At 38.2% G+C, this 25,886-nt stretch overlaps 1 protein-coding gene across 15 annotated transcripts in view, besides 1 other annotated feature; it reads left to right on the plus strand.

The window, feature by feature from the left end:
- ST6GALNAC3 (ST6 N-acetylgalactosaminide alpha-2,6-sialyltransferase 3) overlaps positions 1-25,886 on the plus strand; it is a 562,594-nt gene that overhangs the window by 221,435 nt on the left and 315,273 nt on the right. For 10 of the 15 annotated variants that reach the window (NR_146056.2, NM_001349109.3, NM_152996.4 and 7 more), the window contains exon 2: positions 17,625-17,819. The exons of 2 other annotated variants lie outside the window; for them this stretch is intronic. Coding sequence is in view for 10 of the 13 variants with exons in the window: in NM_001349109.3 (NP_001336038.1) it covers positions 17,625-17,819 (195 nt within the window). In the remaining 3 variants the exon portion in view is untranslated. Of the gene's footprint in view, positions 1-13,325; positions 13,433-17,492; positions 17,820-25,886 lie in introns of all 15 variants that reach the window. 3 more of the 15 variants (NM_001349111.2, XM_047417099.1, NM_001349106.2) reach the window with 2 other exon arrangements.
- Positions 6,964-7,603: an enhancer, noted in NCBI's record as "NANOG hESC enhancer chr1:76768829-76769468 (GRCh37/hg19 assembly coordinates)". NCBI's record gives its function as "activates a minimal SCP1, AML or CMV promoter by ChIP-STARR-seq in naive H9 embryonic stem cells {active_cell/tissue: H9 hESC(naive)}" and the evidence as "EXISTENCE:reporter gene assay evidence [ECO:0000049][PMID:30033119]".

Genomic DNA, 25,886 nt, shown 5'->3' on the forward strand with positions numbered 1-25,886 from the left:
CATGGTTGCCTCACTAGAATAGTCTCCAGAGGGGAGGAAGTGGAGGAAAAAGAATGAAAACTAGGAAAGCAAAGCAAACTTCTTGGGAAGTGTGTGTGTCTGTGTGAAAATACATTTTTGTGCAATGAAATGGTTTGAGTACTGTAGCTCTGAGTTCTTTCGTAGCTTTGAGAACTTTTACCACTAAATGGTAGAAATTCAGTTGTTCTCTTTTCTTTCTAAGGAAATGTCTTTGGGTCACCCCATTGAGGTGCTAACTTGCTGCCTCTTTCCTGGACTTCTTTTCTCCCATCGACCCTTCTCTTCTTCTATTCGTCAATTCTCAATCTGCAAATTCCTGTTGCCTTTCATATGTAGAAAATTCAATTCTCTCTTTGTTTTTACTGTCCATTTCCAGACCATGCTTTATCTTAGAAACCCCAAATGTCCATAGCAGTGTTTTACTAAACGATGAACCATGAATGTGTATTTAACCAATGAGTGTTGAGTGCCACCTGTATATCAGATATTATACTGGGATGACATAGTGGCAACCAAAACAGACACAGTTCCAGCCCTTGTAGAATTTCAACTCTGATGAGAAAGAAAGGCATTGTGTTATTTTATAATAAATATATTCTAGTTTTTCCCCTTTATACTTTCTGCTGCCATCAACTTTATTATTTTGGGAGAAAAGATTAAATTTCAACCCTATATCTTGTATGGTGCAGTTGCCCCATAAATGTGTGTTGATTGGTGAAAAACATCAAATCTCTTTAGCCCTCATATTTTCTTGTCACAAAAGTATTACTAATATTTTGTATTAAATGGTCATTGAAGAAAATCATCATGTGTAGTTGAGCATCAGCATTGGTCAGCATCTGTATAGAACTTGAAAGCCTATAAAGGGAGGACTTTTATGGACTTTATCAGAAGCAAGCTTCATAAATCTGTGGAGAAGGGGCTCTTCTCTCCATTTTGCAGTTGAGAAATCAGTAGATAGGAACTAATTTGTCCAAGGTGGAGATGAGAATCTCATCTCTCCTGTCTCTAAATCATCTTTTCTTTTGACTATATTGTCTCTTGACAATAATTTAAAAGTATCTCAATATCCACAGCAATAATTATTTTTTGCCTGAAAATTACAGGAGCAGATTATTTCATTCATTTAATGTATTGATTCACCAACATCTCTTGCACATCTAATATGTGCCAAATAATAAGTTTCCAGAGCCAGGGGTATGTTGTCCTTTTCCTTAAGGCATTGTATTCTAACTTATTGGGGTAGACAGAAATATGACTAAATAAATACAGGATCCTTATTTAGGATATAGAAGGACACATGACATAAGTATAGAATAAGATATCCTTGTGGTATAATGGAAAGATCATTAGCTTTTTAGGTGCGCCTGGTTTGAATCTTGACATCACCAGTTACTAGCTGTTAATTTGAGCAAATCATTCATCTTTTTAATGAACAGTTGTCTCAACTATGAAGTGGGGGATAAAGGTATTTACATACATTGTAGTTGTAAAGATCAGAGGTGATATGTGTACGAGACCTAGCATGATTTCAGAAACATAGTAGATGCTCAATTAATGGTACTGCAATTTTATCATGTCTATTATACAGATATATAATTTGTACTGTATCTGTTTGTTTTTTACCTACATATCTAAATTTTCTTCTCTATCTATCTGTCTATTCCTCAAGAATCAAGAGACTAACTTCCCGAAGAGACAGAAGAACAGCTAGGAGAAGTATCAGAGAAGTAAAGTTTCTAGGGTTGTACAAAAACTTAAGTTTTGTACAGAAAAAAAAACTATACTAATATATGTGGCAATTGAAAAGTATGGAATTTATCAAGAACCACAAAAAGCTTACCATGGTTAAAGTATAGGGTACAAGTTTGGGAGGCTGAGAGATGAGGCTGGAGGAACAGTCAGAGGTCAGATTATGAAGGGGCTTTTATAACATGTTAAGACACTTGGACTTTATCTTGCCATATAGACAACTCCCTCTCACCTAAGTAGGAAATGACAAGCTGGCAATTAAAGTGCTTCAAATAACGTATCTTAGTATGTGGAATCCTTAATTGTGTAGAAAGAGGAGAAAATCTATCTAAAAACTTACCCAAGAAACCAACACATGGTATATACTGAACAAGAATCCTTACGATTGATGGGCAAAGGAGAGGTGAGATTTCTAGTGAAATATAAAATTAGAAAGTATCATAAACCAAATCCCAGAAGCAGCATGCAGGGCTGAAATGTTATAGGCCAAAGCACCCTCGGGCAAATTTTGTCCATTACATGGTAAGTTCTAAAGCAGCAGGGACAAGGCTCAGAGTAACTAAACCCGGATGGAACACCTGCAGTTTTTCCCTGAACGTCAGCATAAATATTTGACATGTCTTCCTTTCTGTGAAGGGGCCCTGTCCCAGTGGGAGTGGTGTCTGGTATCCCTTAGCAGAAGTATTTGTTTTCTTAAGCTTTTCTTTATGTCCTAGAGGTGGATTCTAAAAGTCCCTAACGTATTTTGATTTTGAATTTTCACAAAAGTATTTTTTTCTTTCACAGTAATTCAGTATAAAAGGCAATAAAAGTGATGTATCCAGAAATATTCAGGACCTGCTATCAGCACCACATGGGAATAAACTATCTTGCCACTTGCACATCCCATGGGAAAAAAGAATCACAATCCACATATAGGAAATATTGCATGTGTTTGCCTCCGTTTTGCTTGTATTGTCTGCTCTGCTGAAAGGCAGATTTTTTGCAGATAAAAGCTGCCCTGCGTTGGTGAACTGCTCACCTATTTTACTCAGGAAGAAAAGGCTTTGTGAAAATCAGGAGCAAAGCCTGATTTGCAGAATACCATCTAAAAATAAAATGCATAAAAATGTCAAAATATGCTAAGAATACAGGGCCACCTTCATGCTTTGAAAAATTACCTAGCAAATTCAGCAAATGCTGTTTTTAAGTGAATGTAAATTATGTGTTTTCGAAGTTTCATCTTGTGAATTGGTGGCTAGGTGCTGAAGGAGACATGAGGGTGTGGAGGCGGCCTTTCTCTTCTTGCTGCACTAGGGCAATAGATCTGTGGTTAAAGCAGATGAACTGGGAAGCTCTTGATCAGGCATACGAAATACCCAGATTCTTGTATATTTTCTAGTTTGTGTGCACAAGGCTTCTGGCTTGGCTGCTTTTGCCAGTGGGGAAGCATTAGTGAACAAAACAGATACAGCTTCCAGTTTTCAAGAGCTCACAGTCTAGCAAGTCACTGCAACTTTAAAAAGGGGATGTACATGTGTGGTTTAAAGTATGGTGGGTAAAGCCTTTAGGGGTTGTAAAAGTTCAGTCACTGGGGCCTAATTCTGCAAAAGAGAAATTCTTCCCAAAGCTGGGATACATTGAGTGTCTTGGGCACCAGAGCAGAAGTTTTAGTTAAAATATTAAGATCCAGCACAAAGTTACCTCCCACCAGTTGAATCTGTTTTTGAAATTTGGAAAAATGGCCTCTGTTTCTCCACAACTATGTATTGGTAATTCTTCCCTGGGGACTAACTTCATATATATATTTTCACAATAATGCATACTGAATAAATCTGAATATTTTGCTTATGGAATCAACAAATAATCTCCAGAGAAAGTTTCATTATGCAGTCATATATAAGATATGAAACAGATTTTTTCCCTTTATTTTAAGAAATATGCATAGCATAAAAATTCTCAGGCTCTCTTTGCTTTATGTAGCACCATTTCTGATAAGATACCAGGTTTCAACAAACTGGCTCAGTGGACATTTAAAATTCCCATTGTGAGTGCCAGGGCTTAGTGGAAGATGTTTGACCATGTGCGCTAACCTATCAGTGTTCATCTACATATTGGGAGACTGAACCTGATCTATTCTGCACAACTGGACAGAAAAATATGGAGGTGGGTTCTCAGCCAAGGGTTAAAAAAGGAAGTAATCTCTTTTGCTGTAAACTTTTTCTCAGCAGGTGTAAAATAGCTGCAATCAGGTAGGCTTTGGTAAGTGGCAGCTGCTATCTGCCCAATTGAAAGATCAGAAATTCTCACCCTATTTCTGTTTCAATTATGTAGACAGTGGCTCCAATTTTCAAGTGTCTAAAGGCATGCCTAACTCTGTGATAAGAAATGGATGTGGGCCAGAGTGGGAGCCATGTGCAAAGCTGTGCTGCAAACCCTTTTTCTAGTGATACCAGCTCTAGACAATCAAGGTCCCTCGGTTATCATTATAGAGTCATTAAACTCAGGAGCCAGCAGTGATCACTAAAAAATGGATGTACAGATGAGGAAACTGAGGCCTAGAGAGGTTAATAATCTGACTTGTGGTCAGACAGCTTGTAGACTTATCTAGATATAGCCTCTGTCCTTAAGCTGCTGCCTAAGGACAGCTAAGTGCTAAGTTTATTGCTAAGTGGTAAACTGATTAGTATCACAACCACCTGCAACATTATGTTGAGAGGATTCTGAAGTTGCATCCTGATTCAGGTGGAAATAGTGCTATGATTGATTAGCAATGTCTGCCTGGGGAGAAGGTGGGATATGGTTTGCTGTGTATTTGCTGAATTTGGTTGAATGATGATGGCTGCTTTGTAATCACGATTGCTACAGGATGTGAAGTGTGCTTCAGTCAGAACAAAGCGCTCTGAATCTTCTTGGAGGGGCAGGACGGTTTCACAGAGGAGACAACATTTGAATTTGATCTTGAAGGACAAGTAGAAGTTTTCCTGAGAGAGAAAGAGGAAGGAAAGGAAAGAAGACATTGCATGAGGAAAGAATAGCTTATGTAGGCAACCTGATATGTGGATAAAAAAAGGAAATTGATGATCATTGATTGTCTGCTATGTAATGGGCACTAAGCTAGGCCTTTTCTGTGTTATCTAAGTATTTAATTTTCATAATGACCCTTTGGTTTTACAGATGAGGAATCAGAGAAAAAGAAAATTAAGATGTCTGAGGTCATTCAGCTATTAAGTAGAGCTAAGATTTTAATTCTTGGGGCTTCAAAGTAACTTTAGTGGCAGCAACTCAGAGGAACAGTATAGGTAAGGAAGAGTGGATCAGAGAGGCAGAGATCATTAGTTTGGATTTGGACTATTGAACTTGAGTTGCTTCTGGGACATCCAGATTGGGATGGCTAATACTGTTGGAAATCTGGCACAGAGTGATCTGGTGATGGTTTAAAAAAAAAATCAAAGGCTCTTTGATAACAGACCTTGTGCATTTTACATCTAGGTTCCTGCCTAATAGTGGAGATGTTTCTGCCTTTGCTATTCTAGCAGGGGAAACTATACGTAATAAATGCATATGCTTTATATTGTTTTAGTGATTCAAATGACTGTCAATGCAATATTAAATTCAGAATTGATAGGAAAACTGTCCTACTTAGAAATTCAAGAGTTCTTGGCACAATACTATTTATTATCACCATGAGACCTGTGCTGTAGCAAAACTCTGCTTGTGTTTCGGTGAAAGACTGTTTAACATGCATGTTTCACTCTACCGAGGTTCAACTTTGACCTATAAGAGGACAGTGTATATTCCTTAGAGAGATGCTAGGAGGTACCACAATTGATATCTATGTATGAGAAGTGGGTGGGATATGCCTGCATGAGCAACATAATCTAAACCAAGTTCAAAAAAAGAAGTTTTTTTTTTTTCCACAGGTGCAATCTTGACAAGAAGAAAAATCTCAAAAAGGTATTTTGCATTGGTAAATTCTGATGTCTTGGGCAGCTCCAGGACTGTTTGTCATGCTTTCCTTATGGACTTCTGGTTATGCCTCCTTAAGGATGTGGGCTGAGGGATAATCATTTAAAATAGTCCAGGCACCATTTCTGATTCTTTGTTCCCTAGAATGATGATGGTGGTGGTGGTGGTGACCACAACGGTGACAACAATGATACCACCATATTTCATTGATTTTTAAAATGTTTTTCCACATTTTCAGCTATCTAAGAATACTTATACTCAGTACTTCCTTGCAGTCACTGTCAGCCTGCAACAAAGTTAAATTTGTCCACAGAGGATTGGCATTATTTCACATGGTCACCTGGGGTCACTACCAACCTGAGACCATTTAAAGTTATTTGCTGAGGTGTTTTGTTTGTTTGTTTTCGCACTGTCAGTATGAACTTGTATCAGAAACCTGCATGAGTATCTGCTTGTGGTTCAAGTTCTCAGGGAAGATTATTTTTCCTCTTTCTCTTCTTGCTGTGCCTTTCTGAATGGAAGCTTTCTTTCTGGCATATTCTAGTGCTAAGGGAATAGCTGTTTGGTGTTTCAGCTTTTTGCAGAGGTCTCTTATTAGACTCCCATCTTACTTTTCTTTCTTATTCTATTTAGAGTAACAGTGTGACTAACAATCGATGGTCTCTTATAGCTGATGAACTACTGTAACAATAAAAGCTAACATTTACTTAGCACTTTCCTTTTACCAGGCAGTGCTCTAAGGGCTTTTTATATGCGATAACTCATTTAAACCTTCAATAATTATATTAGATGGGTACTCTTATTTTCCCCAATTTTAGGTAAGAAAACGTATGCTGTGTGCCCAGGGTTGCACATATTGACTCACTTAGTGTTACCAGTGGAGGGTGTCCAGGTTCTGGGCGTTTTGAACAAAGAATTGCACAAAACACACAAACAAAGCAAGGAAAGAATGAAGCAACAAAAGCAGAGACTTATTGAAAACGAAAGTACACTCCACAGGGTGGGAGTGGCCAGAGCATAAGGGGCTCAAGGGCCTGGATGCAGAATCTTCTCAGGTCCAAATACCCCCTAGAGGTTTCCCATTAGCCTGATGTAAATGAAGTGGTGTTCACCTCATGTAAATGAAGTGGTGGTCTGCAACCAGTCCGATTGGTTGCAGAAAGCAACCAATCAGAGGCTGAGTTACAAAGGTCACAGTCCTATGCAAGTTTTCTGCAACCAATCAGAGGCTAAAGTGATGTTACAAAGTTACATTTCTATGCAAACGAAGACTTGGCCCACAATCAGTCTGATTGGTTGCAGACAGCAGTTAATCAGAGGCTGAAGTGAAGTTTCATAGGTCACACTCCCATGCAAGCATCTGATTGGTTGCAAAAAGCAACCAATCAGAGATACTTTCCATTTTCAATCTGCCACCTAGAAAAAGTGGGGTTTTGCAAAGGGAGTGGTCTCTGGTCCTTTTGTTACCTAGCCAGTGGAAAGTTAGGGTTTTTCTTTCAATTTAGTCCTAGGAAGTCAGCGTGAAACGGCCTTAGGTTCCCTGCCTCCAGACCCTATTCTCTTGCCTCATTAGTGTAACTTGACCACCTGAGTCTACCGGTACACCCCTGGTGAGAATCCACTTTTAGCTTTGTAAAGTACTTGGCATAATGCCTGATACTTGCTGAGTACATAGTGAGCTGTTGCAAGTCCCTTCCACTAAAAAATAAGCTATTGTCCTTATCAGAAGAATAGGATACTCTTTTGTTATCTATTTCTCATTCCATGATATAGGATTCTAGCTTTAAGTGTTGTCAATCTCAGACAAGAGTTGATTATCTAAAAAATATGGATTCTTGTAAGCCTTTTCATTATGTGCCATATAAAAAATGTTGCTCCAAGCAGGTTTACTAGTTTATCACCATTCAGATTTACAAGTTCTATCAGGAACTTCAAAGCAATTTCCTAGTAAATTTCCTAGTAAAAAGTCCAGTTTAACAAATGTTTAAATTTTTCTCACTTCTCTTTATATTTTAAATTTTTCTCACTTCTCTTTATATTTCACACCCTAACCCTCTCCCTCACTTTCCCATTCCCCACCACATTCACCTCAAATCTACACAGAAATCTTAAAGTGAGATGAATTAAGAAAAAAAAAGAAAATTGCCTTTTTTCTTTTATGAAAAAACATATTTTTATAATAATCTGAATCTGAAATTTTTGAAATAATTTAGGACTTATATTTAGAAAAAATCATTTAATCCCTCTGTCCTTCCTTCTTTCTCTCCTTCATTCTTTCATTTCTTCCACAAATATTTACTGAATATTTTCTGTTAAAGACATTGTGCTTGATACTGCCTTATGAGATATATTTCTCAGATTTTGTTCATGTCCTGAAGAAATTTTCAAAGACAAAATTAAGGGGGAATCTTTCTCTCCTTCCCTCCCTTCCTTTCTCCCTCCACTCTCCCTCTTCCCTCTTTCCTCCATCTTCTTTCTCCATCCACCCCATCCCACCCCACCCTTATCCATGAACTAGAAGCCAAGGAGGAACAAATGCTTTATGGGGGAAACACTCTGAGCAAGTTATATTGGAACTTGCAGAGATGAGGATGGTAGAATACAGCAAGGGGGCCAGGAGGAGCAGCATGAACAAGGTCACAGTAACTGGATAGCAAAGGGGCTTTAGAGAAGGCTGAGAAGTCCAGCTTGAAACATGGAGGACAGGAAAGGGAGAGATGGGAGAGGAGACTTCCCTTCTCACTTCACTTGTTACAGAGAGATGCATGTGAGGTGTGAGGATAAATGCCATTTAATGTAAGGTCATGTAGATTCACAGAAAAATAAGAGATTCCAGCTGATGTCATTATCATCGTAGTCATTTTCATCATTGTCGGGATGCCTCTGGCAGGACTTCCTCCCTAATGACACCAGGACCACCAGAATTTACACTTATGCTCTGCTTCTGTGTCCTGAACACCTTGGAGGTACGAATGGATTCTAAGAGACAAACTCATCTCGTTTAGAGTGAAAAGATGACAAGCAGAGGTTCGCAGAAGCCACATACAACCAATGAAGCCTATAAGGTAGCTGAGAATTAAACAAAAGCACCTGTTCCGATTACCTTCATTGTTCCTGGTTAGTTAGCACCTCCCTTTCCTCAACAGAATGCCCGGCGCACAGGGGTGGGATCTGAGTGAGGGCAACAGGTGGATTGGAGAACATTTCTTCCCATAAGTAGTAGGATTTGATGGAAAAACAAGTAACTTCAGGGTAATAAAATGATGGAAAGTCCTGATGGGTCAGGTCCATATCTAATCTTAAGAAGGGCAGCCTTAGGCAGCATAGTGGGTGCTAGAATCATTGGTACCATCAAGAAAAGAGTAGTAATGTGAATTTCAAAGAAGATCACTTTGGGATAATGAACAGCATGACAGAATCCGGGAGCCTAATGAAGAAGATGTGATATAGTAAAAGAAATATATTGAGTGTAGGCTTTGAATAGGGCAGAAGGAGTGGAACTAGAGAGGCAAGAGGAGATGTGATTATGGAAGGTCTTGTATATCATACCAAGGGTCTGCACTTACACTGTAGAGTCCAGAGGGATCTAAATGTAGGATAGACAGGATCAGGTTTGATTTTGGAAAGCTCAGTCTGGAGGTGGTGTGGCCAATGTTTGGGAAGTGGTAAAGACTCTTTCGGGAAAGACAATATCAAGAGCAAACATGGACTACTTCATCAGGTATCACCAGCAGATATTAAATTATCAGTACAAAACCCAGCAATTATTACTTTCAGATCGGCCTTTTTTCTCTTACTAGGAGAATATAGTCCAGATAGAGTGTACGTGCATGAATAATCATCATAGTCTTAACAGAGGATGAAGTTTAATGAGTGTTATCAGTTAGAGAATTATTTATATAATCTCAGTTTTCCAGACAAAGAAATAGAGGCATAGTGAGATGAAGTGACTGCCCAAAGTCATAGATGGAGAAAATGGTAAAGATGACTTGAACTCTGATATTCTGCCTCTAGAGCCTGTGTTCTAGTGTGTGAATTAACTAAGTTGTTAATTGTTATTCATACTAATGGGAACATTCTCATATAACTGGTTCAGAAATTTTAAAAACTGGTACCAGCCTTAGGTAGATTTTGTAATGCAGTTTGTCAGTAACCAAAATACCTAATTCATATGGAAAATTAAGAGGCTGGTGTGAAGCATGATAATTACATTTACTTTGAAATCAGCAATTTGTGGATAAATTTAATTCATTTTGCCCAACTCTGGCTTTATTCCCGGTATTAAAAAGACAACTACAGGGTGCACTTGGTTAGCACTCAGGGAAAATAAAGCAATTATTCTTCCACTTCTGCTAGAGAACACTAGGTACCCTTTGACAGTCAATTGTATAGACTCTTATTGTAGGCAGTTTGTAGGAACCAACCTGATGGAATGGGTATGTCTTCCTCTTTCAGCTCCACAATCCAATGACCCTTTTGTTCAACAAAAACACAACTAAACAACAAAATGTTGGTAGTTAAAAAAAAGTTTAAAAGTAATAGGACGCCTTCAACATGGTAATCTACTTTAAGAATTTAGAGCACATGTCAGTATGTCACCTTCAGACATGGTTATAGTCCAGTAAGAATTACAAATCCAACAAACAAAAATCAAGGCAATAGAGTTTTCATGGGTACCACTGTAATAAATTCTTCTGTGCAAAAAGCCAGTCCTAGAGAAAAATTATAGGTAGCAACATTTTCTGAGGAACTTTTTTCCCAAAGGAGTTTTTTTTTTTGGGGGGCGGGGGGTGCAGACATTATTGAGAAGTTCAAGTTAACATGAGCATTATGACTGTATCAGATGACATGATAAGAGGTTACATTGAACTTTCTAACACCTATTCTTAAATTATAATAAAAAAACTCATTGAGTTTTTAACATGCCTGTACATTTTCTCATTTTATTCAGGGAGTAGATTTAGGTTTTTCTGGCCTGACTGGATTTTTAAACTGCTACAAGATAACATAAAAATAATCATGGCTATATTCACTGAGTTTGTTTCATTTTGTAAAATTATGAAAAACAAGTTTATCTCATTCAGTCTCTTTAGCATATTGATTCAGTATATCTCCCTTTATAGAAAAGAAAGAAAGCAAGGATTTTCACAAGATAGAGCTGAAGACTGATATTGAGTACATAGAATGAAGAGCCCAGAAAGCAACGTCTCTCAGTGTGGCTGGACAGATAGACACAAATAAATTTCATCCAAAGGGTTAGTTCTGATTATGAGAACATGGGAGCCTTGGGCCTTCTTTACTTACCCATACCCCTAACAAATTAGTGGGGTTTTTCCTAGAGTTCACTATAGTTTAATAAGCGGGATACACCCAGATTTTTGATTCAACGATGAAATAAAATGAATGAAGGTTTTATTTATATACTCTGTGCTTTGCTACTTCAACTTTGTGCAAATGGAAAGAAGCTTTATTGCATTCAGAGAGAATTAGATTTGGAACTTGGTCAGTGGCACAAGATAGAACTATAACATATTGATGAGACAACTTTTTATGTGGGAAAATAATTAGCGTTTGATAAAATCACAAAGAAGCAATGGGTAGGGACTCATCAATGTGTGAAGTGACTGAGCACTGATACACATAACACAGTTGACATTGTCTTTAATATTTATTATTGAATAAATGACAGCATGTGAACAAAAGTGTATGCTTTTCACACTAGTGAATACTTGGTCATTAAACAATAGTTAAATAAAAAACACAACTTTATACCATTGGTTATAATTTAGGAAAAAGAAAACAAAAACATCTGACAATAGACTGGATTAAAAGTTAAAGATTTTATTTTGTGGTTAAAGACTACTTCTACAGTAGAAAGAATAAAAACATATACATATTAATATAGATTGCAAATTTGCTAGGTCCGGATCTTTGCACTTGTGTTCTCTCCCAAAATAATGGATTTTCTGTGGATTTTATTTTGGAATAGGTATTTCTCCTATGAAGTCTGATAAATGATATTCCCACTCTAAAGAGCAAGCAGCTAGAATGCCATGTTTTTGATGCATATTTTTGCAGCACAGAGGGGATTAAATTCTAAATGTCTCAGCTGTTAAAGGCCCCTTCAGACTTGCCCAAAATGAAGAACAAAGAAGGAGAAAGCTTTCCCTAAAGCAATTCATCAGATCTATTTGGGCACAGTGACATTTTCTCAGAACTTATATGGATAAGTTACACTGAACAGTTCAAGGGTTTGCAGCTGCTTGGAATATTTAAGAAAAAAATATCTCTAGTTCTTATGCATTTCATATGGTCTGACCAGTGCTCAACACTAGCTAATGTTCACTGAGGCTGTAACCATCAGTAGTTATGTCGTAATAGCTTTTGTTTCTCGAGAGCTCATTATGTGCCTGGTACTGTGTTCTGCATTTTCCACTCATTGTATCACTTAATATTTATGCTTCTGATCTTAGGGGAATGACTGTTTATATTGCATATATGCCATTTTTTTGCAGTATGAAAAATTTGTTGAGCCGAGTGTCATACATTATAAACTGACATGTACTTACTGTTGTTTAATCTAATTGGTGGTTGTTAAATCTAAAGGATGTTCTGACTACTTCAATAAAGGCAGCAGCAATCACTTCCATAAATAAATCATTAGACGTAGAACACATGTGTAAACAGGTAGAGTCTTCTAATTTGCTAAGTGTTGATGGACTCAAAACAGTTACTAGAACAAGCCATAGATGGAATACATTTATTGATGGAATAAGTCAAACAACTTGAAACACGGCATTGTGGTGTCTTAAATGGTAATTCAAATAAAATGAAGTGATTGATACATTTTTACTTGTTTGGAAAGTGGAGAATATTTTAGAATTGCAAAACATTGCACTTTTATATACATTTATCCTTTCATTATCCTAATGTAGGGTAGATAGGACAGTTGATTGCATCCAACTTCATTTATTTGGCTTATTATCTTTTGTTTTATGATTTTAACTCTGTCTAGAATCATCTCCTACCACTTAGAGTCTATGTATTCTTCTGACCAAATGACTTCAAGTTTTCTGACCAAATTAATGGCCTTTCAAACTGTTAAGCCCTCTGCCTGGAATGCCCTTCACATCTTCTCTTGGCGAGGCCGCCGCGGTCCTCAGGACTCTGTTGGAATATCACCACCCCAGACAAACATTCCCTGAACTGTTCCTCCTATACTTACCCTTCCTCTGGCCTCCCACAGCACCCTGTGTATACCCACATTAGCATCATTTGACACCTGGTATTATAGTGTTCTATTTACTGGCCAGCTGCACCAAGTTGTGACTCTTTGGAAGCATGGTGTGTCTTTTATGGTTTTATTTCGGTTTTTTCAGCACCTAGCCAAGTCTACACAGAGTATGGACTCAATGAGCGATTGTGGCTTGAAGATGTAAATTCTTTAGTATGTATTGCATGATATACATGTGAGACATGCATGTATATCATGCATATTAGTACTTTGTTCACTTCCCCACCTCCCACATCCCTATGACACACACACATTCTCATTGCATTCAGCGATGTGTAGCCTTCTGTCTCATCCATGGTTTTCATTGTAGTTGCTGAAGCTTGAGGTCACGATCTGGTGGAAGTGACTACTAGAAGAAGGCACATGTGCATTGTATTCTGTTGTACTTGTCATCTGGAGCACACAGTGTACTTGAAGGTATGCCTTTTCTAGTGGAATTTCAGAGTGGTTTCATACTAGCAGTATGAGAACACTTTCATGCTAAACAAGAAGGGCAAAGAATCAAACCCGGGCAATGTAACAGAAACTGAGCTGGGGGCCTGAGCTGCAGAAGGAACCTCTGTCCACTGCAGAATACCACTCCCAGTGGCACACAGAGGAGAGGGTGTCTGGCTTCTGCTCTCTGGTTGCTCCCTTCACCCTCTCTGTGCTCATTACTTGGTTCCCTTTGATAGAACATGAGAGGCAGACATGGGTTGCCAGGGAGCAGGCTTTTACAACTGCTATTTCATCCTGTTTTGAAATTTCTCTCAAAATGGTTGACTTATTTTTCTCTCACGTATGCATACGTATGTGTTGCTGCACACAACAGTGGATTCAGAAAGGCTATCCACATCTTTGTCCCCAAACCCCCAGCCATGCAATGCAATATAGCAACCAAGAGAACCAGAGAGCCGTGCTGAGCTCTGAATAAACAAAAGCACAAATCCCATCTGGGTCTCCTTCAAAGCAAGCTGCTATTTTGCAACAAGCTACCAAATGACGATTAAGAAAAAGGTTCTTACCTGTTTACTTAATGGGTGACTGGCCTCTTTGCTTTTATTTAGCCATCTGTTCTGGTCTATGTCCCTTTAAACTTGTAAGATCCATCACTTCATTAAACTGTTACCTTGACACATTGCAATGTTGTGGACATAATGATTCCACAGAGGAGCAAATTAAAACAGTTTTTCATGATTAGAAGCTTAAATGAGGTAAGGCTGTGGTAGTTAGTGGTGAGATAAGGGGTGTTGAGGAGGCAGAGCTCAAGGGGCTTTCAGGCGATTGGAAGATTAGGCTGGCGAGATGGAGGGCTGGGGCTTTTCCAAATTATGGGAGGTGAGCAAGAAGCAAGACTGCCTTTGGGTATCGCTGACTCCTGGGGGCTGGTTCCATTGCCCATACAGAGGCTGTGACCCTGGCCCTGGGAGGATACAGGAACTGCCTTCAGGTTTCTTGACTTCCCTAGGAGAGTCTGCGAAGAGCAAAAAGAACTAATTCCACCGGGTAGTGGTAAGCTGAAAATGCAACAACAATAAACATTTTGGTCTTTCACAGAAAGTTATGTGGCTTTCCTTAAGTTCGAAGAAGAATCAGGGGGCCCAGCCCAACTATATGAAAGAATATTTTATTGTGTCTTTACCCTGCACTTCATGGCTTCAGCAGTCCTCCTTCTTGCTCTAGACTTACCTTCCACCTGACTCCTTGACAGTTGCTGAAAACTAGAAAGTCAAGGGCTTTATCTTTTTACTATCTTATGTCAGTTCCTGCTCTGACAACTCTGGTTTCTTCTGATATGACCCATAATATTGCCGTCACATGGACCCCAAATCTGAGGAATCTCTGAATTTTCCGTCAGCCGCTTCTGTCCTGTCAGTAGCCCAAGTTCTATTTCTCCCACCTAAATCAAGTTTCTCACATCTTTTTCCACCTTGTTATTTCTTCTTCTTCTGCCCTAGTTTTCATCCCTCATTACCTCTGTCCTAGGCAATTGGGATAGCCTCCTAACTAGTCACTGCCTACCTATACTCTCTCCCTGCTCCAAAGCATCTTAAACACTGATGTTTGATTATAACTCATAACTTCCCCCCACCCCGCCTTTTTTTTCTTTTTTAAAAAAATTATACTTTAAGTTCTGGGATACATGTGTAGAATGTACAGGTTTGTTACATAGGTATACATGTGCCATGGTGGTTTGCTACACCCGTCAACTAGTCACCTACATAAGGTATTTGTCCTAATGCTCTCCCTCTCCTAGCCCCCCATTCCCTGACAGGACCCGGTGTGTGATGTTCCCCTCCCTGTGTCCATGTGTTCTCATTGTTCAACTCCCACTTATGAGTGAGAACATGTGGGGTTTGGTTTTCCGTTCCCATGTTAGTTTGCTGAGAGTGATGGTTTCCAGCTTCATCCATGTCCCTGCAAAGGACATGAACTCATCCTTTTTTATGGCTGTGTAGTATTCCATAATGTGTATGTGCCACATTTTCTTTATCCAGTCTGTCATTGATGGGCATTTGGGTTGGTTCCAAGTCTTTGCTATTGTGAATGGTGCTGCAATAAACATATGTGTGCATGTGTGTTTATGGCAGAATGATTTATAATCCTTTGGTTATATACCCAGTAACGGGATTGCTAGGTCAAATGGTATTTCTGGTTCTAGATTCCTGAGGAATCACCACACTGTCTTCCACAATGGTTGAACTAATTTACACTCCCACCAACAGTGTAAAAGCGTTCCTATTTCTGCATGTCCTCTCCAGCATCTGTTGTTTCCTGACTTTTTAATGATTACCATTCTAACTGGTGTGAGATGGTATCTCACTGTGGTTTTGATTTGCACTTCTCTAATGAATAGTGATGATGACCTTTTTTTCATATGTTTGTTGGCTTCAGCCAAAACAGATAAATAGACAAATGGAACAGAACAGAGGCCTCAGAAATAATGCCACACATCTACAACCATCTGACCTTTGACAAACCTGACAAAAACAAACAATGGGGAAAGGATTCCCTAATTAACAAATGGTGTTGGGAAAATTGGCTACCCATATGCAGAAAACTGAAACTGGACCCCTTCCTTATACCTTATACAAAAATTAAGATGGATTAAAGACTTAAACATAAGACCTAAAACCATAAAAACCCTAGAAGAAAACCTAGGCAGTATCATTCAGGACATAGGCATGGGCAAAGACTTAATGACTAAAACACCAAAAGCAATGGCAACAAAAGCCAAAATAGACAAATGGGATATAATTAAACTAAAGAGCTTCTGCACAGCAAAAGAAACTACCATCAGAGTGAATAGGCAACCTACAGAATGGTAGAAAATTTTTGCAATCTATCCGTTTGACAAAGGGCTAATATCCAGAATCTATGAAGAACTTAAACAAATTTACAAAAAAAAAATAAAAATAAAAAAATAAACAGCCCCATCAAAAAGTAGGCAAAGGATATGAACAGACATTTCTCAGAAGAAGACATTTATGTGGCCAACTGTCCCCTTTAACAAAACAAAATTTCTTTTGGCTTTCCATCACCTAGCAAACTTAGTATAGATGTATTAGCTTGATATCTGAGGCAATTCAGAATAAAGTTATCATTTGTGTTTCTAGCTTTTTCTCCTTCTTCGTGCTCCAGTAAGACAAACTACTGTACGCCTATGAGTAACTGTATGTATTCTTGTCTGCGTGCTGTTTCCTCTCTCTGGAAAGCTCTGTTCACACATATCTGTCAATTAAAACACATGCATTTTATCAAGCTCAATTTCAAAGACATCTTTGCTTTCTCTCTTCTCAATCGGATGCAGTTGTTCCTGTTTTTCTTCCATGGCAGTATGTTTAGAGGAATGTTCTGCTGCTTGGCATAATTTTTTTTTCCTCTTGTTACTTTTTTGAATCTTACTTTTGCAAATCCTATAGCACAGGCAGAGTTTCCTACTCATACAGGGTGCTAGATACAGAAACAGAAGAATGAGTGATAATGATACTGTGTCTACAAGAATGTGAACATCCATTCATTCATTTATTTATTCATTCATTTGTTTCACTCAAATGTTCTTTGAATGCCTGTAGTATGTAAGGTACCATGTTAAGAGCCTGGGATACAGAGATCAAGATGACACAGTACATTCCAGTTCTCTAAGAACTCACAAATCCATGTAGGAAAATCACATAAATAATTACACAGTGAAAAAGTACAACAATAGAAGTGTCTTTAAATTATGGGAATGATGGGACTTTACCTCTGTTAGAGTGGATAGGTTGGGGGTCAAAGCATGGTGGTGAGGAGGGGATTGAGCAATTAGAAAAGGTTTCCTGTCATTGGAAATGTCTGATTGGGGTTTTGCAAACTGAATAGGAGTGTACAAGGAATATAGTGAGATAAGGAAGGGTGGAGATGCAATGGAAGAGTTCAAGAAAGCAGCTCTGCTTGCTCTCAGCAGCCCAGCACACTAGGACAATTTGGTCACCAAATAATTATTTTCCATTTCCAGGTAAAATATGCTGAATGACAGAATCCTTCGACCCCTATGAAAGAAAAAGAGAAGAATAAAGGAACCTCCTTCTGTGACTGCCTTTGGTTGAAAGTCATTCGTTCTTCTTTTTGTTTTTTTAATGTTTTGTAGAGAAAGTCTGTGATTGCTGTGAGCTTCATAGCAGCGTTCCTTTTCCTGCTGGTTGTGCGTCTTGTAAATGAAGTGAATTTCCCATTGCTACTAAACTGCTTTGGACAACCTGGTACAAAGTGGATACCATTCTCCTACACATACAGGCGGCCCCTTCGAACTCACTATGGATACATAAATGTGAAGACACAAGAGGTAAGATCCCAGAGGGTTACCTAGCAGTTGGAGAGTATCCATGGTAACAGCTTTTCTTTAGGAGCCAGAGGGCTTCCAACTCACTGAACTTACTCTGTCTGCCCCGGAGAGCTTGCTTGGGTCCCTGACAACATCTTCTGTCTTATTATTCTTAGACATTTACTGACAAATGTCTAAATCTGCCACCCCTCCTACATTAAATCTTCTGATTCACTGGCTTCATATGGAGTCAAGGAAGCAATTACTTGTTTTCCTGGTGGTTTGTGGCACAACGTACATATCTCTCCATTTAGAAGCTCTGATTAGCAGTTACCAGCTGGAGAACTAGCTGGCTTGATTTCCTGTAGGTCAACTGGTTGGGGAGAGCTCTTTATAGAACTTCAAAAATGCATTTATACTCCTTAAAACTCTGTAATCCTTAGACCTGGAGCTAGAAAAGGCCAAGCTGATTTTAAAATTTGCAGTGGCTGCAGAGATAATGGGATTTAAAGAGTTTTCAAATTTAAAGGGGTTAAAATCGTGTAAATCCTATAATCACAGAAGCTTTAAATCTTTGTAGCCAATTGGTAGTACAGGAGAGGATGGAGGTATATTGACAACTAGAAAGTGCACACTATGCTAGCGCTTTTGCAAGCAAGCATTTGTCTCATAAAGTAAAATAAAAATAATGAACCTCACAAAATATGTGATGTATATAGAAGTGCTTAATAAAATTGTTTTCACTATTCATTTCTATGGAGTTGGATGAATGTGAGTTTAATATTCAGAGACACAAAGTCCAAGCCTGTTTGAAATTGTTGGTAACAAAGGTACAAGCTACCAGTGTGTCTACATTACTAGGGAGAGTCTTGGATCAGCTCCCATCGAAAGGTCATTTTGTAAAGATACTAGAGGGTAGAGTCATGCATGGAATGCTACTCCTGTCCTGAGAGTTATTCTTAGCATTCTGGGAGGATGCTAAGCTTGGTCTACCCCCTTTTGTAGTCAATCTCATATCTGAGTCATTGCTTCTGGTTAATTTGATTCTTCGAAAATTGTTTCTGTATCTGCAGGATTTACAGGCCTTTATTAGAATTTTATAGTTGAAAAAAAGCACCATTAATAACACATAAATTCTTAGAATCTTTGATGTTTATCCTCTAATTGGTTTTAAATTAATTTTTTTACAGTGTCTATTGCTTGAATTTGTTGAGTGTCCTAATAAATTGATTACCTATATAAAAATGTATCTCTTTGAGGAGAGTTTGTCTCACCCTCATCTTTTGTTACTTTTATTTCTGGCTATCATTTAATATTCTATAACTCTACTGTATGGTGTTAATCAATTCACAAGTGCCTGTCACAGGCTGAAAATGAAACATGTGACTAAAATGTCTCACGAAGTATTCTCATATGGGAAATCCCGTCAAATATCAAAGACCCTTTCATTTCTTTAAATATTAATGAATTTGATTTCGGAGTGTGAAAGGAAAAACTGACCTATGGATGCAGTTATTTAATTAGTTCTATTAACTGGGCTATCTTTGAAATTATTTTGATGTAGTTTTTAATACAATGATTTTACAAAAGAATATTGAATATTATTTTGCTCCTGCAAAGGTTATTTCTTAGGAGAAAACATAGTTACTGGAAAGAATCTGGGCTTTGGAAGCACACAGGCATGGTTTGAGAGTCAGTTCTAACATTTAATGAACTTAAGCAGTATATTTGCTTTTGGGTAACTTCCTTAACCTCAGAGCCCCAATTTCCTTATTTGCAAAATAAGGATAACAACATCAGCCTAGCAAAATTATTTTGAGGATAAAATAAGTCGAAGTATATGAGGTTCCCAGCTCCAAATTGCTATTCAATGAATGAATTGCTTTTGCTTTCTCTGTACTTTCCAGTATGGCATAAAGTGTTCAGTATGAATAACATCAAATTATCACAGTCCAGAGTACCAGAATTTATATGTACATTTTAAAGATCCTGGACTTGGGGGAATAAACACATGTAGGGGTTCTCAATCTCATTAGTAATCATGGTTTTACAAATTAAAACCACAATGAGAAAAATATTTAAAAATCACAAAGAGATACTAATATACATGAAACGCCAGATTGGCAAAAAATTAAGAAGTCTGACAATACCAAGTGTTGACGAGGATGTGGAACAACAGATACTATTGTATACTTGTAGTGGGAGTAAAAATTGTAATACCCACTTTGGAAAAAACAGCTCCACTGTTGTATTGAGCAAAGTTGAAGATTTACATGCTGTATGCCCAACCATTTCTAGTCATGGATATCTACACTAGAGGTGCTCATGAACCCGTGCACTGGAAGGCATGGACAGAACATGTAGCAGCATTTTTCCTAGTAGCCGGAACCTAGAATATACCTAAATATTGATGAGTAGGAGAATGAATTAGAGTCGTGCCACATACATTTGGAATACCATACAGCAATGGCGATGAAGAAACTGCAAGTATATGTGACCACATGGAAGATAAAGCAAAGTACACAATGTGATTCCGTTTATGGGTCACAAGAAGAGACTAAACTAAATAATGTTGCTTAGGGACATATACAACGGTAAACTAAAAAAGGAAAAAAAAAGCAAGGAAATTATTATTATGAAAGGGGGTCTAGCGGTTACCTCTGAGAGGAGTGGGCAGCTTGTGATCAGAATGGGTTTCTGGGGATTTAGCAATATACTATCTGTTGATCCTGTTGGAGGTTACACAGATGTTCACAGTCCATTTATTAAGTATAAATTTATGGTTTTTGGACTTGTATGTCTATTTTATTAAAAAATTCAAAATATATTCTGATCCCAGGAAGGATGTTTATTTACCATTTACCATGGGGAAGGAATCATACAAAACAATTCACCTAATTCAGCAGCAGGAAATAACTAAAAAGAAGCAATGGGATATTAAGCTATCTAAAGCAAACTAGGAATATTTGAAATAGGCAATTTGATTTTCTATAAAGACTAACAGACACATAAGCAACTTATTTCTCTAGTTCTGGTCTATGCATGATAGACCCCATATTGCATCATGAATGCAGGTGATAGAGCAGAAAATTTTGCATGAAAGTTGAAAACATTAGAACACTCAAAGGGAATGACAGATTTTCTCCTAAATTCAAGTAGTTCTAGGCTAACTCGGGAGAAAATAAAAACTTTGTGACTTTTTACCACCCTTCTCAATGATTTCATCCTTTGTTCTGACAGTCCCACCCCTACCACCATGTCTGTGCCATGCTCTTACTCCCAAATGATTGTGCATTTGTTCTCACTGTAATGTCCTCAGGCGCAATCCGTTGCAGAAATGGTTACATTAAATAAGAGACACAGTATGATAAAGCTTTCAAGAGCCAAAGTAATATAGCTGAAATGATAGGTGGTGAGTTCAGTGTTCTAGGACAAATAGCTTAAATAGTGACCACAAAACCATGCTTCAGAGATTATCACACACTAAGTCCCTATTCATTCTATTCTAATTCTGAGAAGGTCAATAGGCTTAGCTGAACTGAGTCAGGTGATCACCAAGCTGATCTACTTATTTCAAGATCTTGGCCCTTAAAGTTTTCTCAGAAGACTTTCCCCTTAAATGCATATGGTTTCTGGAAATTACTAAACTTCTTAGTATTTTTTTAAATATGCAGGCATGCCAGCAGTGATTTCCAGACCTAGAGCATCTGCAAACACCATGGCTGTTAATGATGGGTTTACTGCCTGATGCTTCAGCTTGGCCAGAAGTTGCTGTAACTAGTCATAGATTTTATGAGCTGAAATGATTACAAGAAAGAATGTCTCTTTACTACTGTCTAAAGAAAAGTGGAATGGGAGGCAGCAGAATTAGGTCAAACATCTAGTGGACACTGTGGAGTGTAGGGTTGCTTAGGAGCAAAATCTGATTCTTTAGTTATCTTTTAAAAATAGATGACTCTGGTCCCTTTGGATTGGCACAAGTGAAAATATAGCTGGTTTGTGAATCTATGACAGCCTGCCCTGAAGGCCCCACATATAGTAAATTATACCCAGTTTAAGCTCTGCTTCATTTTATCAATTAATCTGTTTTTTTTAAAAAAAATAATCTGTTCCCAGGGGAAATACAAAAATTAAAATAAAAGGAACACAGGAGAGATGTGGTTTTGCTTATATTTCAAGCTGTTTATTTTTTTCCCTGATGTAGATCCATAAAAAAGAGCATGTGAAAACTGTGATGACTATTATAAAGGGGTTAAATAGAAAGATCAAAATATTCCTCCCACTGTAATAATGATGATCTAAATATAACAGAGTTGGTGATTGGCTTTAACTCTTTACCTTTACCCAGTCTCCCCTTCACTTTCTCAATGAGTGTAAGCTAAGGTTCTTTTCTATGGGGGAGGGGAAGTCTTGAGAAGCAGGGAAGAAAAATGAGTGCCAACTAACTGGGTGAGTGCTGAAATTCTGAAAGTCTTCGCTGGCCACGGAGCCCCAAATTTCTCATCAACACGTGTTTAAGCTGATAGCAACCATGATTTCAAACCAAAGCTTGGATCAGGAGTGATTTAGATTTTGCAACAGACCCTGCCCTCGCCTCCCTGCTGTGTCATTACCGTGTCTATAATGCAATCCCCCATTTTAAAAATGACAATGTGGAGATTCCACCTATAGCATTATGGCAGAATTACTGTATTATCAACTGGCTTTGGATATGGTAAAAAGTATATGTCACCCATGTATTTTTCCAGAAAAAAATTAAAAACAGAAACGTGCTTCACAATATCCTAAAACCCTATTTTCCCCTTGAAACAAATGCTATTTATTTTAAATTATTAATTATAGCAGACAGAGGAGGTATAAAGGACTAAGGTAGTCCAGGGCTTGGTTCAAGGTAATCTTGCTTTCTCCTGTTGAGATCATGGCAGATTTTTGGGAAAAAGGAGAAAACGAACTTCAAGCTAGGTTCTATTTGTAGTTGCCTATGAGGGACTCAGTCATTGTGTTGTCTTTTTTGTTGTGTGACCTGGTGTGAAGACATTGCTCAGAGCAAGCAGCCTGCAGTTTATTTGCATTTACTGCTAGATGAAAGGATCCAGCTTGGGTGATCAATAGGATGCCAAGGCCAGATCTTATTGGTAATCAGTGAGGGTGACAGATGTCTTCCTTAGACCTGATAGGATCTTCCCCTTAAGATGCTGGGGCTACAGAGGATTTCTGGTATTTGGGGAAGAGTGCCCTTTCCCTGGGTGCCTGAAATGTGCCAAGTGGAGAGGTGCAAGATTGCCAGAACACAGGAAGCAAGTGCAGGGCTGCATACTGACTTACTCGACAATTTAATGAGGCTGAAGTATGCCTCTTTAAAAAATGAGAACGTTTTAAAACCTCAAGTAGACTAAATAGGAATATTTAGGATCAGTTGCTGTGACAGACAGGCCACACTAGCCTAATTAAAGATGTGCATAACATATTGATGTTGCAATAGAATTTCCCAAATTATGGTTATAGTAACAATTAAGGAAGAGAGCTGACTTTCTTGGTGATAAAAGCACACACTCCACACATTTAAATAAATGTACACATGTAACTAAAGCTGACATGAATAGGTTTTCTATATTTGGTAATAGAGGCTTTGGGTTTTACGTAAGTATATTGAGAGCAATTATGTGCAAATGTATGTCCCAAAAGTTTAAAACTGATCCATTTAATTGTTAATTAAAATCCGAACATTCCCATTTATGTAATCATAAAGCAAAATGAAATTTGAGTATTAAATGTTATAGAAAAGGAAACAGCTAAATTAACATATAATAAATCAAAACTTTGTGACTTTTTACCACCCTCCTCATTGATTTCATCCTTTGTTCTGACAGCCCCACCCCTACCAGCATGTCTGTACCATGCTCTTACTCCCAAATGAATTTGACATGTGTGTATTGGATTTGTCATTTTAAGGATAATTTATCATTTTTCTCAAGTATGAAAGGATATATTTTTTGAGTGGAGAAGAGATGACTATGTTTCTCAGTCTGGTTGTGAAATAGCAACTTTCAATCAATGACCATATCTCCAGACAATCTATGAGTGCCAGATGAGAAGGACAGATGCCACTGTGGGTTAGAATATTTCCAGGAAGCTTTTGTGGGAGAGGTGAGACATGTGCTTTGGAGAAAGATTTGGATGGGACAGAGGAAGAAGACAAAGCAGAGTTGGGTAAAAAAGCAAAGGTTCAGAATATGTATTGTGCATTTTCCTTCAGCCCCTATGACTCCCAGTAGGCCAAGGACACTATATGGAAAGCTACAGTAAAGCCCTAATGTCTATGCTGGTAATCGTCATTGCCTCACACTTGGTGGATCCATTTCATACCTTTCTCTGGATTCAATACCTTTAGTCCTAATCGTGTGGCTCTTCTTTTTGTTTGGCTGGTTATCTAGTCTTGTAGTGCTCTTACCTTGGCCCTACTGCCCTGCATACTATGTAGGGGGTCACTTCTAATAATGCTTCTCTCTGTGTACCCCTGACATGGACACAACTCCCCATTTCCAAGGGGCCCCTGAAGTACTGCCCAGGCCTCTGCAATCCTCTGACTTCCAGAGAAGGAAGTCAGGCACATGTACAGGTAATACATAGGTCAACCTGGCTGGAACTTACTCTGGAATATAGAAGAAGATAGAAAATGCATTCATTGGGTAATTATGATCTGGGAATGTGAGTGGGATTATGGAAAGACCACACTCCTATTTAGACATAGGAGTAATACATACATGTAATATATATATACATTCATAGTTATGAATCAGTATATACAAGTATATGGAAAATACATACATGTATGCATGCATGCAGCATATACATGCATACATGTTCACAGATCAAGTTCTAGCCACTTAAATACAAACATACATAGAATATATACAACATACTATGTTATACATTAAAATGGTATGTAAAATGGTGTGTAAATGGTGTAAAATGGTATATATATACACACACACACACACACACATTATATATATATATATATAGTCAGGTAGGTGTATAGTGTGCCTTTTGCGGTTGTCTACTCTCCACCTTCCCTTTATTAGAGAAGGTGGCCCTTCCTTTTGACCACAAGGGTGAGCAGAAAAGTCAGGCTAGTGATTGGTCAATCAAGTGATTGGTTGAGGGGTGGGCTCATGGCCCAAGATGAGCCATTCTGAAGCCTTCTCAAATTTTATTATGTTTTTCTGGGACACACTGGCAGGAAAGGCCCCCTTTTCTCTGGTGGTAAAGCTGTTGGGATGTGATTCTCTGGATGTCAGTAGCTGTGTTCCCAAGACAGAATGAGACAAAGACACTGAGAGAAGCAGAAACAAGTTGCAAGGCTAATGTGAAGACCCAGACAACACTTCAGGTCCTGAGCTCAATTCTTGAAGGCAGCCTCCCCTCCCATCCCCCATGGTTTGGGTGTATAAGCCAATATATTTGTCTTCTTTTTACTTTTGCTGGTTTGAACTGTTTTTGTCCCTTGCAACCAAAAAAGTCCTAGCTGATATATTGTAGTTATTTTACAGCCACCACCACCAAATGTTCAGTAACTCATCTTTAAACAAGGTGCCATCTGAAGGAGGAGAGGAGTAGTCTTTCCAAATCTGCACTCTCAAACCTGCTGGGGGGCCAAACACAAGTCACATCCATCAGTCAGTGCAGGTGTCTGCAAGGGGTGAACGCTGTCTATCTTTCTGCTTAGGTGCATATTGCTTAGTAAACTAGCTTATCCTTTTGTGGTAGAAAAATGAAGGTCAATTTCCCAAGGTTATAATGCCAGAAAATGGCTGGACAAGACTGACTACTACCTGAATTGCTAGTCGTACTCAACTGATAAATCATATAGTTTCATTATAATTGTTAGATGAAAATTTCTCTATTGCTGTGAGGCATCAGCAGTCAAACTAGATTGATTTTCACTTTACAAATCACATTTTTTATTGATGAAAAATCCATTATTATCATAGGTTTTAATGTAGTGATCGGTTCCTCAGGAAGATATACCGCAGTTTTATTTATTACAGAGCCTTAGGTAGAAAAGTCCCCATTTGCCAACTATCT

This window comes from Homo sapiens, chromosome 1 (assembly GCF_000001405.40).
Source record: "Homo sapiens chromosome 1, GRCh38.p14 Primary Assembly".
In the NCBI taxonomy this organism is placed as follows: Eukaryota; Metazoa; Chordata; class Mammalia; order Primates; family Hominidae; genus Homo; species Homo sapiens.